We start from the raw sequence: 14,993 nt of genomic DNA, 5'->3' as shown, positions 1-14,993 counted from the left end.
GATAAATAGTTTTAAAAATTGTGTCACTATTATCATGGGAAGTCCAAGGGGAGTAGGGAAGTTATTACTTTTTTTAAGTATTACTTTTAATAGCAAAAACCGCAATTACTTTTGTACCAACCTAATAGAAAGGGTCTTTCCAGCTACCTTGGCAACCATGCTTATTTCCAGTGCTTCTGGGTGGGCAGCATGTCTGTGCTTTTGCTATGGTTAGTCTGTAGATTTGGTGTCCTCCTTGCCTTTCTCAGACTTTGAAGTCTCCCCTTTGCTTTAATGAAAAAAAGTCTCTCCTTGGCTTTAATGATGATCAATCTGTAGCCATTTTACCCCCACATAAACCACACCCTATTTTAATCCTTCAGGTGAAAAATGCTCAAGTTGGACAAGATCCACAAAATATGAGGGCAAAGTGGAGCTCTTAGCTGGAGCAAAGGTGTGACTTTATGTTTCCGTAGGGAGCCTTTTTCTGCAGGGTACACAGAGGGCCACTTGCTGACACTGGAATTCCACTGCTTGTGCTTCTTACTTTGCGTGAAGACACTGAGAACAGATGGCATCAAGGCGGATCTGACATGGCCACTAGAATAGCTTGGACAGGAGTTCAAATAAACTGCGTCCACCTTGACTCTGCCTTGGCCAGAGCATCTCATATCTGTTTCTTCTTCTCTAGTTGACTGAGTGCACCTCAACCCACTTGCAGTTCCCATCCCATTTTTGAATAGGCCATTTGGAAAAGAGCTCTTTCCCAGCTCAATCATGCTTTCTGCTCTTGTCTTTCAATCCAGCTGCATTTGTTCACCCCTGTGGGTCCTCCCAGCCCTGCTAGGCCAGTCTCTCCTGGGGTGTTCTGCACAAGCTAGCTATGAATTAGGCATGCTCTCTTTTAACATGAAAATAACCTGGAAGACTTTCAGCTTAAGATGATGGAGAAAAGACCTTATCTCTCCTTTCCCCTGTCAGCAAAAAGATGAGAAACAGAAGCGCACATCACAATACATGATGACAAAAAGCAACTAGAGGACTCTGGCCTTAGCGGAATAGAGAAAGGTGAAATGTAAGAACCTGCAGAGAATGAAATCACCAAGAAGCAAACTGATTTTGTCCTGTACGAACTCTCAAACTAGTGCCCAGGCTTTGAGCACTAGTTGGGGTGAGGCAACTGATAAAAATAGAGAGATTTGTTCAAAATCTATTTAATAAACATATAGTCCTCACCCATAGCCCAAAAAAAGTGATGAAAACCCTTCCTTACAAATATTTTTGGAGGAAAAACTGAACCAGAAGTTTCTAGTATATGATGGGGGTTAGAATCCAGAGTAAAAATATTGAATGATGCAAATGTTCTCCTCATCTCAGCTGCAAAAATGCCAGCAGCTAGGCTTATACCCTTCAAGAGGGAGACCGGAAGATTCTTCTCTCCAGACATCAATTCTCCAGAGAGAATTCTAACAGATATTGACATCTGAGTTTCTCCCATTGACAAAGCCACCTTACTGCCATACACACTGCAGTGGAACCAAGGAGGGTGACAGTTTTCAGGACAAGAGGAGGCTGAGGAGAGGTCACCCCCAGACTCAAAATTTCCAAGGATGGTACCTATTTTAAATATTCAGTCTCCTTTTCTTCATAAATGTCCTTGGACCTGTATTACTAGATGTTTAGATAAGTGCTTTTAAAACCCTCCCAAGCCCACAGACTTGTCATTTAGCTGGCTAGTGCTTCACTCTCAAATAAGAACAGATAGTCAAAAATCAGTAGACATTTGAAAAAGTTTCCTTACATGAAAGACAGACACAAAAGTCAAACCAAACAAAACAAAACAAAAACAAAACAGAAAAGGCTACTTAGAGGAAGTAGAGACAAGGTAGGGAATAAATAAACACTTCAAAGACAAAACTAGAAATAACATCCTTAGATAAGAAGAGAAAGTGCATTCATGAAAGGAAAACAGAATAATATAGAAAACAAGTAACTGGAAAATAAGAAAGAGCTCTTGGAAATTAAGAGTAAGAAAGCTGAAGTTTTAAAAGTTGCTAGAAAAGTTGAATGATAAAGTTGAGGAAGTCTTTTAGAAAACAGAACTGAAAGACAAAGATGTGGGCAATAGAGGAAAAAAGATAGGAAAATTAGAAGCTTGATCCTGGGGGTCAACATCCAACTAATAGGAGTTCCAGAAAGAGAATTTTGAGGCCAGGCACCTCAAATTTGCCAATGCTCATGCCTGTTATCCCAGCACTTTGAGCAGCTGAGGTGTGGGTGAGGGACCGTTGCAGGCCAGAAGTTCAAGACCAGCCTTTTCAATATAGCAAGATCCTGTCTCTATTAAAAAAAAAAAAATTCCAGCCAGGCACGGTGGCTCATGCCTGTAATCCCAACACTTTGGGAGGCCGAGGCGGGTGGATCACGAGGTCAGGAGCTCGAGACCAGCCCAACCAACATGGTGAAATCCCATCTCTACTAAAAATACAAAAATTAGCTGGGCATGGTGGCGCGTGCCTGTAATCCCAGCTACTCAGGAGACTGAGGCAGGAGAACTGCTTGAACTCTGGAGGCGGAGGCTGCAATGAGCCGAGATCGTGCCACTGCACTCCAGCCTGGGCCACAGCGAGACTCCGTCTCAAAAAAAAAAAAAAAAAAAAAAATTCCTCTGGCTGAAAGTCTTGAGTCCCTCAACTGAAAGGGTCTCCCAAGTGTCCAGCACAATGAATTCAAACCATACTAAGTCATATTATTATTTCAATTAGAAATGCTGTGGCATTTATGTCATTTTGGATCCTCTTAGATGTCAAGATGAGATTAGGTAGTCAAGAGATTTATTGGGAGAAATGCCTGTGAAGGATAAAGGAATGCAGAGCAGAAGAATATAATGCAGGTCTGCTACCTGGGAAAGAAGAGAGGAAAGAAAGTCCTGCCTAGGAAAAGCTTCAGGCTGCAGCACAGTTCTGAGAAACTGTGACACTGTGTCCAGCCAGAACAAAGGAGTGTTAGTGTCTGAGGCAAAGGCTGTTCATTAGAGTAGCCTCACATCAGGTAGGCACAAGTGGCTCTACTGTCCTCATCTTATTCAGTGATCAGCTGGGAGCAGTCGAAGGGAAGTATGGCCTCTACGTAGCTGTCACTCAGCTATGCTTTCCATGGCCGACTATCTTAAAGGGACATCTAAGCAGTGTACCTCCAGGACTGCCACAGTCCATTTCTTTTCCTCCATAGATCCAGTTCCCCATGGCTCCTGTGGGCCCTCTTCTTGAGGAAATACTTAGAAGAGAGAAGTTAATGGGAGGAACTATAGCCCCTAGTGCCGCCAGTTGTCTTGAGATCGCAACCCATAGTCATCTTCTCCTACCTGCACTATCCAATCTAAATTCCCCTCCCCCTCTTTATTATCTTCATTATCTTTATTCCAGAAGGTCTTAGCTGTTGGCAGTCACATCACAGATTGGGCAAGACTACAGAAAAACTTGACCACAGGGATCACCTGGGATCCATACACATTCCTTCCTCCCTGTCCCATTGTGTACAGGCAGCCTCACCTCTTTCTGCTGATGGAAGTCAATGATTTCTTCTTTTCACCTGCTGGTCTCTTCATAGAAAGAGTCCAAAATGCCCTGGTGGCAGCCATAGTATATAGTTCAATGGGACACTTGCTGTGTCTCCTGCCAAGCTGCACCTCATTTGAGGACCAAAACCTCTAATCTCATAGAGCCCAGAGTTGTAGAGACAAGAAGCACAAAGTTCCCCAGGAGGTCATTGGAAATGATAAGTGGGTCCACTCCTGCTTCCACTTCTTGGTTCTCAGACCCATGTATTCTTCCTGTTGAGGACATAGCACCACATGGAGAACCCCAGTTTAATGTATACAGTGCATCCTGCAGGATGGTACCCTGTTCTTTCAGAGCATTGCCTCCAGCTGGAGCTCCAGCTGTGCCTTTAGTAACCATTCCAATGCTTTATGAGGCTGGCTCCATCTAGGTGATACAGTATCTGATATGACCAGTGGATCCCATGGTCATTGTCCTATTCCCAAGCCTCCTTTGCGATGAAGTGATCCTCTGGTCAATATTATGCTGTGTGTGCTTCCATGACTACAGATCGGCCCCAGGTAGTGGGGCTTGCTGAAGCTCTGTGGCAAGGAAAGGCAAATCTAAAGCCAGGAGAGGTATCTAACCCTGTGAGGATGAACTGTGGAACCTTCCAGGACAGAAGGCCCAATATAGCTGACTTGCCAACTATATTGGAGATGCAAAAGTTTATTTTCCAACTCAGCAAGTCCCAGAATTCTTGGGCTCCCTGCATTCCACCTACATGTTCCTTGAAACCTGGCTGGTTCTTTTCTGAACTCATCTCTAGTACCTATTATATGCAGCTAAATACAACTAGCTCACACTTTTATCATTGTGCATGAAGACTTCTCAGCACAAATCCAAATATTTTTAGGTACATATGCTAACTTCCAAGTTACCAAAGGTGACAGTTTTAGAAAATGTCTCATCCCTGCAAAACACAGATTACCATTTTCTTTCCAGCCTCCTATAACAGTTTTCTTGTGCCCATCATCCAGCCTCCAAACCAATGCCACTTATTTTTTTGTTTTCTTGTGCCTATACCTCACTACAAATATCAATTTCTAATACCAATTAGATACTAATTTCTGATACCAAAAGCTATTGCCACAAAATGTTATATGACAAACATCCAAAAATTCAGTGGCTTAAAATAACAGTCGTTTATTGTCATTGATCTATGAATCAGCTGAGTGTTGGCAGATCCAAGCTGGGCTCCACTGTGCAGCTCTGCTGATTCAGGCTGAGCTTGGCCAGGAGGGTTTGGCTTTGCTCCATGTGTTACTCATCCTCCTTCTAGAACCAGTGGGCTAGTCATCAGCCTGTTTGTTCTGTGCTTCTGATGGCATAAGCCTAAGAAAACAAGCCCAACCACACAAGTGTTTTTCAAGCCCCTACTTGCAACATACTTGCTAATATCCCACTAGCCAAAGTAAGTCAGGGTGAGGGAGAAAAGTGAATATTTTGAATAATAATCTAACCTACCACATGTTATTGTGGAATCATAGGTCATCTCCAAAGAGGAAAAGTCATCAGATACAAAGGATTGTGAATGAGAATGGCAGAACTTCTCTAGAGCAATATCAGAAGCTAGAAGACAATGAAATGCCTTCCAAATTCTGAGTGAAATTGTTTTAAACCTAGAATTCCATATCCGTCTAAACTATCAGTTAATTATAAGGCTAGAATAAAGATATTTTGAGATATGCACATGTAGAGTCTCAGTTAATGTACCTCCCATAGACCTTTCCTTAGAAGCTACTAGAGAATAAGAACCACCAAAAAGACGCAACCAAAACAGAGGAAGATAGAAAACATAGGAAATCCAGTTTAGGAGAGAGATGATGGAAATTTCCAGCATGATAGCACATGAAGTTCCATATTGTTGCACAGAAGACAGCAAGACTAGTCTGGAGCAGAGGGATGGAGGGCTCCATGGCTCTCTGCAGCGTGGGGAATTTGACTGAGTGGAAAGATACATAAAATGCTATTGTAGACAGTGGGAAAACCCAAGTATAGGTAAAATGGAAAACTAAGCAAATGAAAAATAACACAATTATTTAGAGGTATGTAGAAGGACGTAAAATCATAGCCCACTATTTTGTTCAGCCATAAACAATATTTCATATTATAAGAAGAACTGTCCTATAACTATATTGAGAGAATGGGAAGAAGAAAGTGAATAATGCCATAATAGAGAGTCACCAGACAATATTCAAGGTTGATAAATCAGGAAAAACAATATAGCACATATTAGTTAGCAATATGGAGGAAATGTATTGAGTCTGGAAAGTGGAATTAGAAAATATGAGGGGTGGGACATGGGCTTGTTCTATTTGGTTGCAAATCTTTTATCAATATTGGACTGTTGTGTAAAAATATGTACATATATTACTCTGATAAATTTTTTCAGGCCTAGGGAAATGTAATACAATTAGCTTGTATACTACTTTGGTGAGAGCAAATTTCATCTATTTTATCATTTATTGAATAAATATTTTTGCTTTGTTCTAGGTACAAATATTTTTGCTTAGTTGTAGGCATCAAAATAATTATGCACCGTGTTTGATGATTACAAAACACATTTGCATATATTTAATCTTGTGATTCAATTCTTACAACTCTGTGAGTTTGATACAGAAGCAAATTTACCTTGCTGTTAATGAATTCTAAGTTGCAGGACTGTTTGTTGAATGGACCCCTTTCTAACTCTGGAAAGGGGCCCTATCAATAAGTTTACATGGTTGTATAATTTTGTAAATTATACCCAAAAAAAGCCTTTTGTTAAGATCACTTCAACTCCTAATGCATCATATTTCCCCTTATGTGAACAAGAGAATTGTTTCTAAATAAACGCACAATTTTGTACCCAATTCATATCATAAATTTTTATTCTTTTGCTTAAAGAAGGCTCCAGCAAATAGTGAAAATGTCAAGCTCACCAAAACTGGAATTCATCCCGGGTAAGTATTATCTTTCCTATTTGACAAGTTGATGAATGAGGTTAAATGGCTTTGCCCAAGTTTGCACATCTGGACTTAAACTCAAGTATTTGAATGTCCAAACCCACTTTCTTGGGTTGCTACCTTATAATCCATCTCTAGATGGTAGAAGAAAAGTTAAGAGTCATTAGTCCTGTTCCTGGAAAAATCCATCCTGGAACGTGGGTGGAAAGAGGGCAAGCCTGAGCCATTGGGCTTGGGGTTCACATGGTGGTGTTTTGAGGAACAGGTGGTGGTGAATGACACAAAAAGAAAGGTCATTGAAGACAAATTATGATGATACACAATGTTCTCTTTGTCTGCCTCTGCCTAGCCATTGGGGAACAACAACACTAAAATGCCTCCTGTGAAACACAGTCCTGTTGGGATAGGAAGAGGTCTCCTTTCTCCAGATGTCTCTCGTTTATTCCAGTCTGGTATCTGAGAACAGCTCTGAGTATCGCTCTGGAACCAGTGAGGCTGGCTGAAGTCAGAGGTCAGGGAATCGAAGGCACAAGGTTAGAGACATTGCAGGTAACTAAGCCCAACCCCTCAAAGAGAGGAGGCAGAAGAGCACAGGGAGAGGCAGTCCACACAGTGCTTAAGAGCAGGGCTCAAACCTGATTTCTGCCTGGGTGGAAGTCATATGACTTTGAGCAAGCTACTTAATCTCTCTGCCTCAGTTTCTTCATGAGTAAACTGGGAATAGCAATATGTGTCCATAATCTCTTTTCTACAATTCAGAATGCAAAAACCTAAAATTATTTCAAAATTTTTTGGTGGGAAGAGATGATCTGAACTCATTTGGCAACAAAACGTAACCCAACTCATGTAAAAGTATTCCATTTAATGCAAAAATTCACATGCCTCACTGTATAAATATCAATGTATTTGATTATGGAGAACAGCCCCATGGGGGTGTTTTCTACCATAAGGTGTATGTGTCATATACCTTTCTAAAATCCAAAAAATTAAGAATTTTGGTCCTAAGGTTTTCAGATAAAAGCTGTGGATCTGAAGTGCCTATTTCATAAGGTTGTCATGAGGGTTAAATAAATAATAAGGGAAAGGTGCTTAGAAGAGTACTTGGAAGAAAATAAGTGTTCTAGATGGGTTTTCTATTATGAGGAACTCCCCTCCCCGCCCCGAAGTATATTCCTGAGAGATGTTACCTGGCATTTATCTGACTCCCAGGAAGGAGAACTAACGTCTTTATGAGTCAGTCTAGTTTAACTATTGGATGTTTCTAATCTAACCTTATAATAAGCTGAAATTTGCTTTCTCTAACTTCCCCACACCAATCACAGCTATATTTCAACACAACTTTTGCAGATAGCTACTCTGCCTCCCCTGGGTCTTCTTTTCTACATGGTTAATTGTTCATCAGATATTGCTCAGACCTATCTGTTAGTTCCCCTCCCTCACCCCCGCCCCACTCCAGTTTGCCATTATATCCTTTCAAATGCAGTGCCCAAAATAAAATCCAGAGGTCTATATAGGTTCTGATCAGCATAGAGTGCAGTCCACATTTTCTCTATGCTCCAGACTGTGAAAAACAACTGCATCTCTGTGTGAAAACAGAATCGAGATGAGAGGAGATCTGGAAACACAATCAAGGCCATCTAGGAGTTTCATTAGAAAAACATACTTTAAAAATTCAATTTCAAACCAATTTTTTTCTGGCTTCCCAGAACCGAGATGGAAAACAGTGAGCAGCCTAGACTGATGGAAATGTGCACGTCAAACAGTGTAGAGGTAGGGTGGGTGACGTTATGCCAATTCTTTTACTGCGAAACACTACAGACAGTAATGCCAGAGCTAGTGTGAAGGTCATGGACCGCATCCCACAGTCCAAGAAAAATGAATGATATTCCAACAGAAAGAGAAGAACAGAGCTAAATAAAACTCTTGACAAGTATCAGGGCCAATCCACAGCAAATTACTGTGAAACAGGAGGACACTGCTCCCTCCGGTGGGCACAGCTAGATCTTGCCTCATGCCTGGCCCCGGCCCTGATACCCTCTGGTTAAAGGGAACCTGAGCAAACAAACCCACCAGAGGGGAAGTAATCCATTTCTAAGGTAGAAATGTGATCACTCATTCAATATGTGACAGGAATGACGAGAAAAACCATTCTCTTACAGTGACCATCCTGGCTACCTGCAAAGTATGCTTAGAATTCTAGATCCCTTTGGAGTCTCGGTAAAGATCTCCCAAGGGCTGGCTGATGGGGACACGGGGATTTATTATTTTATTATTTATACTTTGTGGATGTTTAAAATTTTTCATAATAAAATCTTTTGAAAAAATCCTCAGGTAGCTATAACTTTTTAAAACAACTAGAGACCCATGATGACAGTCTAATAATCACATCTGTCCTCCTTTTCCCCCACACTGAAGATTTTTTTTTAAATTAGATGGTACTTTCACTACTAAACTAGTTGGGAAAACGTTGGTAATTTTTTATGTGGACACAGATCATACAAAAGATTACAGACCTAATAACTGAACAGAGAAATAAACTATCCAGAAAGAATTTGGACACTGAAAACTATGTTCAAACCTAGGTTGATGAATGAAATTGTCATCAAGCTAATATCTGGGTAAAGGGAAGGACGTTAATAAGTCTGGGAATCTTTAGCCAGGTTTCTTGTTTAGTCCACTGAGAAATGGACTTGTGATCATGGTCCTCAGACTCAAACCAAACCCCGTACAACCACACAGACAAAAGGGTAGCCAGGGCATTGATTAGGCAAATAGACTTTGACCTAGTTCTGGTCCGATGCATCTGTGAATTGACTTCCAATTTATTTATTAATACTTGAGTTAAAGTAAATGCTCCAGAATGAGCTGATGATGTTTCGTGTGCTGACACTTGGCTCCAGTCAGGGCCTCCAGGGGACCAGAACTCTTGAGCACCATTTCACATCCTTTTGGCCTGGCCACTTACCCCAGTCACTGGTGAAGGCAAGCAGTTCCACACAGGCATAACCTGACCTTGCCTCAGCCCAGACACTGGATCTGTAGCTTTTGCTCCAAGGCTTGTCTGACACCAGAGTCTGTGATGCCTGTGGAAAGCTGCTTGGCAGTCATGCATGCACAACCCATAAAGGTGGGCAATTACTACTTCTGAGGTTCCCTTTGGATGGCACGTTGTAGGTGAACAGGATTAAGAATCCCCATGTCCCCATCAGCCAGCCCTTGGGAGATCTTTACCCAGACTTCAAAGGAATCTAGAATTCTAAGCATACTTTGCAGGTAGCCAGGACGGTCACTGTAAGAGAAGAACGTTTTTCTCATCATTCCCATCACAGCTTGAGTGGTAAGTGCAGATCCAGCAGCAACACAATTAAGGTTCTCACCTGTGGTGGATTGGGATGAGGTACAGGTGGAAGGGAGAGGCTCTGGGTCAAGTGGTAACTATGGTCCTTGGACAATATGGAGGCAATTATAATTGTAAAGGAATGGGGAATTCACTGGCTTTTGTTAACTGCTTTGAAAGTCTCAAAATAAGAAAATGACAGGGTCATGTTAGACAACTATCAACTCAAGCCCACGGTGAAATAGAGCAATGGTTAAAAGAATTTGATCTCCTGCAGGCACAGGGAATACTGTCTTGAAGATTAAGACAACAGTTGACAAAGTCATAGAGGAGACAGAACGCCAAGCCTTCACAGATCTCCTATTTCAAAGTTAGAACCCTGATAGGAAAAGCTTAAAATCTTAAGAGCTGGGATAGGATAGACAAGTCTGAGAATATTGAGTCACTAGATTAATTTTCATCCTCTAGGAGAGCAAAGTCAGCCTTCTTCTCCTTGCTGGGGACATCAGCCTCATCTTGCCAGGAGACCCTGAAAATACCTCACCTGAATCTTGCTTTGCAAAGTGATGTCTGTCTTCCTCAAGGTCTCCTTCCATCTCCAATTAACTGACTCCATGATAACTGGAGTCAGGTTTTGGCTCAAGCAGGTGGGGAAATGTATCCCTGCTGCAGTAGGAAATAGTTTACTAAAGAAACTGAAGGACCTGGGGTATTAGACTGTTCTCACACTGCTATAAAGAAATACCTAAGACTGGGTAATTTATAAAAGAAAGAGGTTTAACTGACTCACAGTTCTGCATAGCTGCAGAGGCCTCAGGAAACTTACAATCATGGTGGAAGGCAAAGAGGAAGCAAAGACCTTCACAGGGTGGCGGGAGTGAGAAGTGTAAGCAGGGGAAATGCTGGATGCTTATAAAATCATCAGATCTCGTGAGAACCCACTCATTATCACGAGAACAGCATGGGGGAAACCTCCCCCATAATCCAGTCACCTCCCTCCCTCAACACATGGGGATTACAGGCCCCACCCTCAGCACATGGGGATTACAATTCGAGATGAGATTTGGGTGGGGACACAGAGCCAAACCATTCACCTGGGTAATGTATACAGGCAGGAACCTGGATAAGCTTGTGAAAGTGGATCTTGAGGATGTTGCACTAGGGTGGGTGAGTGGAATAGAAAGCTGGATAATGGTGAATTTATTGACCTGGGAGCACCCTTCCTTGATCAGAAAACTCAGTGTCCTGGCAAGGATACCTGTAGCAATACACTGCAAGAGTGATTTCTTGAGGCTTGGACAAAATAGTGGCCTATAATAAATAAAGTCCAGAAGCTGCAACTTGCCTGGACTGGAGCTTGCCATAGCACTAAGGAAGGAGTCAGAAAGCTCAGGGATGTGAAAATATTAAAGATATTTATTTTTTCTTTTGATTATGTATTTATGACAGATTTCAGAAAGTTTTCATCAGGAATTCATAGAAGCAAAATGTAATTAAATTTCTACAAGCATTTATCTTCTTAAAAGTTTGTAGGGCCGGGTGCTGTGGCTCACGCCTGTAATCCCAACATTTTTGGAGGCCAAGGCAGATAGGATTGCTCGAGCTCAGGAGTTCAATACCACCTAGGTAACATGGAGAGACCCTGACAACAAATTTTAAAAGAGCCAGGCATGGTGGCACACACCTGTAGTCCCAGCTACTCGGGAGGCTGAGGTGGGAGAATCACCTGAGCCCAGGAGACTAAGGCTGCAATGAGCTGTGATTGTGCCACTGCACTCCAGCCTGGGTGACAGAAAGAGACCCTGTCTCAAAAAAAATAAAGTTTGTAGGAAACACAGATAGATCTCACTTTTCAAAACTGAATTCCATCAAGCTCTTCAATTTTTGTCATCCTCCTCAAATGACGTATATTGGCAAATAAGGCACAATTTATTCTTGAACAGTAGTAACTAACTTTTTTTTTTTTTTGAGAAAGAGCCTTGCTCTGTCGCCCAGGCTGGAATGTAGTGGCACAAACTCAGTTCACTGCAGCCTCCACCTCCCAGTTCAAGCTATTCTTCTGCCTCAGCCTCCTGAGTAGCTGGGACTAAAGGTGCCCACCACCACACCTGGCTAATTTTTTGTAGTTTTAGTAGAGACGGGGTTTCACCGTGTTAGCCAGGATGGTCTCGATCTCCTGACCTCGTGATCCGCCCACCTCAGCCTCCCAAAGTGCTAGGATTACAGGCGTGAGCCACTGAGCCCGGCTGTAACTAACTTTTAAGAGATTTAATTTTATTGTGGTAAAATATACAGAACATAAAATTTGCCATTTTAAGTGTACAGTTGAGTGGCACTAAGTATATTCTCACTGTCATGCAACCATTCCCACCATCCATCTCCAGAATTTTTTTTATCACCCTAAACTGAAACTCTGTTCTCATTAAACAATAACTTCCCAATCTACTATTCCCCCAGACCCTGGAAACCTCTATTTTACTTTCTGTCTCCATGAATTTGTTTGTTGTAAGTACTTCATATTAATGGAATCATACAATATTTTTCCTTTTGTGGTTAGTTTAGTTAGCATAATGTTTTCAAGGTTCATCCTTGAAAGGATGATGTAGGAGATACCCAAATTTCTTGTCTTTAAAAAGATGAATAATATTCCATTGTATGTGTATACATCCATTCGTCTGTTTTGACATTTGAATTGTTTATGCCTTTTGGCTTTTGCAAATTAACACTTCCGTGGACGTTGGTGTACAAGTATCTATTTGAGTCTCTGCTTTTAATTCTTTGGGGGCATATACTTAGGAGTGGAATTGCTAAATCATATGGTAATTCTCTGTTTAACTTTTTGAAGAACCACCAAACTGCTTTCCATTGCAGCTGCACAATTTTATATTCCCACCAGCAATGCACAAGAGTTCCAATTTCTCTACATTCTTGCCAACAACTGTTATTTTCCTTTTTAAAGAAAACAGTGGGGCGTGGTAATCCAAGCACTTTGGGAGGCCAAGGCGGGGGAATCATTTGAGGCCAGGAGTTTGAGACCAGCCTGGACAACATAGAAAGAATGTATCCCTACAAAAAAAAATTAAAATAAAAGAATTTAGCTGGCATGGCGGTGCATGCCTGTAGTCCCAGCTACCCCAGAGGCTGAGGTGGAAGAATCACTGAAGCCAGCCCAGGAGTTTGAGGCTGCAGTGAGCTATGAGTGCCACTGCATTCCAGCTTGGGTGACAGAGCAAGACCCTGTCTCTTTTTCCTCAAAAGTGAAACAAAACAACGTGAAAATCCTAACAGGTGTGAAGAATTTAGAAATTTCTTTTACTATTAATTCTTCAAACATTTTTCTCCCTCCTTTTTCCTTTCCTTCTTTTACTTCAGATGCACACATGATATTGTTCTCCAGCTCACTGATGTGCTGTTTCTCCATCTTTTCTCTGTGCTTCACTTTGGGTAGCTTCTTTTCCTGTGTCATTATGTTCACTGTTCTTTTCTTCTGCAGTGTCTAATCTGCTATTATATCTATCCAGTGTATTTTCAATTTTGGATGTTGTATTTTTATCACTAAAAGCTTGAGTTTAGTCCTTTATAAATCTTCTATTTCTTATAACTTTCACGTCCTTTCATCTCTTTATATAAGAAACATATTTCTTTCTTTCTTTCTTTTTTTTTTTTTGAGACAGTGTCTCACTCTGTCACCCAGGCTGGAGTGAGTGGCACAATCTCAGCTCACTACAGCCTCAACCTCCTCAGCTCAGGCGATCCTCCCATCATAGCCTCCCAAGTAGCTGGGATACAGGTGTGCACCACCACACATGAATAATTTTTTGTATTTTGTGTAGAGATGGATTTTCACATTGCCCAGGATGGTCTTGAGCTCCTGGGCTCAAGCAATCCACCCGCCTCAGCCTCCCAGAGAGCTGGTATTACAGGTGTGAACCACCAGGCCTAGCCAACATATTTCCAATAGCTATATTAACCTTCTTGTCTGATAATTCCATAGTCTCTGTTGTTTCTGGGTCTGAGTCTTGTGACCAATTTTTCTCTTGACTGTTCTTCATATTTTCTTTTTCTTCATATGTCTATTAATTTCAGATTAGATTCTAGATATTGTAAAGTTTACATTGTTGGGTGCTGAAATTCTGTATTTCTTTGAAGAGTGTTGAATCTTTTCTGTTGGACTTTTACTTGCAGATTAGTTTGATCCTTTTGAGGTATGTTCTAGGCTCTTTTAGCGTGTTCTAGAGTAGCATTTATTTGAGAAATAATTTAGCCCCACTTCAAACTGTTGCCTTTCCAGGATTTTTACTGAATGTCGTGTGTATTCACCAAGGTCTGTTTACTCTGACTAGAGGGAACTCAAATGATTCCCAGCTCTGTGTGAACTCTGGTTATTGGTTATTTGTCTCACAGCTTACACAGAACTATTCTTTCCTTGAAAGTTGTTCTTGTCCAGTCCTATGGGATTTCATCCTATTCCTGACTAGTTTGGTGTTCAGGCAAAGAATCAAGAGTCTCACCGTTGCCCAGGCTGGAGTGCAGTGGCACCATCATGGTTCACTGCAACCTCTGCCTCCCCAGGCTCAGGGGATCCTCCCCCTCAACCTCCCAAGTAGCTGGGACCACAGGTGTGCACCACCACACCCAGCTAATTTTTTGTATTTTTTGTAGAGACAGGATGTCGCCATGTTACCCAGGCTGGTCTCAAATTCCTGGGCTCAAGCGATCTACCCACCTCAGCCTCCCAAAGTGCTGGGATTACAGGTGTGAGCCACTGCACCCAGCCAAAGATTTCTTGAGAGCTCTCCTCTCAAGTAATGCTATGGTTTGAGTGTTTGTCCCCTCTGAAACTCATGTTGAAACTTAATCCCCACTGTAACAATATTAAGCGGGGGGCGGTGGGGGAGGAATTCAACTATAGTATTTGAGAGGCGGCACCTTTGGATGTCATTAGAATGAGATAAAGTCACGAGTGTGGGACATGAGTGGCTTCGTGAGGAGCTAAGCTAGCATGCTTAGCTCCTTCTCTATGCCCTACACCACCTCGGGACTCTGCAGAGATTGCCTACCAATAGGAAGGCCCTCCAGATGCACCCCCTCAACCTTGGACTTTCAGCCTTCAGAACTGTGAGAAATAGA

The 14,993-nt window shown here is 41.8% G+C and overlaps 1 protein-coding gene and 2 long non-coding RNA genes across 10 annotated transcripts in view; 1 reads left to right on the top strand and 2 right to left on the bottom strand.

Annotated features, from left to right (window-relative positions):
- Positions 1-14,993, bottom strand: part of PDE8B (phosphodiesterase 8B) — a 341,542-nt gene that overhangs the window by 290,141 nt on the left and 36,408 nt on the right. The gene's annotated exons all lie outside the window — the stretch shown is intronic.
- The window catches only part of ZBED3-AS1 (ZBED3 antisense RNA 1), a 62,587-nt gene that overhangs the window by 11,186 nt on the left and 36,408 nt on the right, over positions 1-14,993 (bottom strand). The window lies entirely within an intron of this gene.
- LOC124901008 (uncharacterized) lies at positions 6,988-10,408 on the top strand. Of its 2 annotated transcripts, none has more exons than XR_007058827.1 (3): positions 6,988-7,059; positions 8,233-8,296; positions 10,332-10,408. It is a non-coding gene; the product is annotated as an uncharacterized LOC124901008 (long non-coding RNA). The 2 variants fall into 2 exon arrangements; XR_007058826.1 differs by having other exon boundaries at positions 6,990-7,075.

The sequence above is a fragment of the Homo sapiens genome, chromosome 5 (assembly GCF_000001405.40).
Source record: "Homo sapiens chromosome 5, GRCh38.p14 Primary Assembly".
In the NCBI taxonomy this organism is placed as follows: domain Eukaryota; kingdom Metazoa; phylum Chordata; class Mammalia; order Primates; family Hominidae; genus Homo; species Homo sapiens.
Note: the sequence above shows the minus strand (reverse complement) of the source record. Positions and strands in the feature narration are given on the sequence as shown.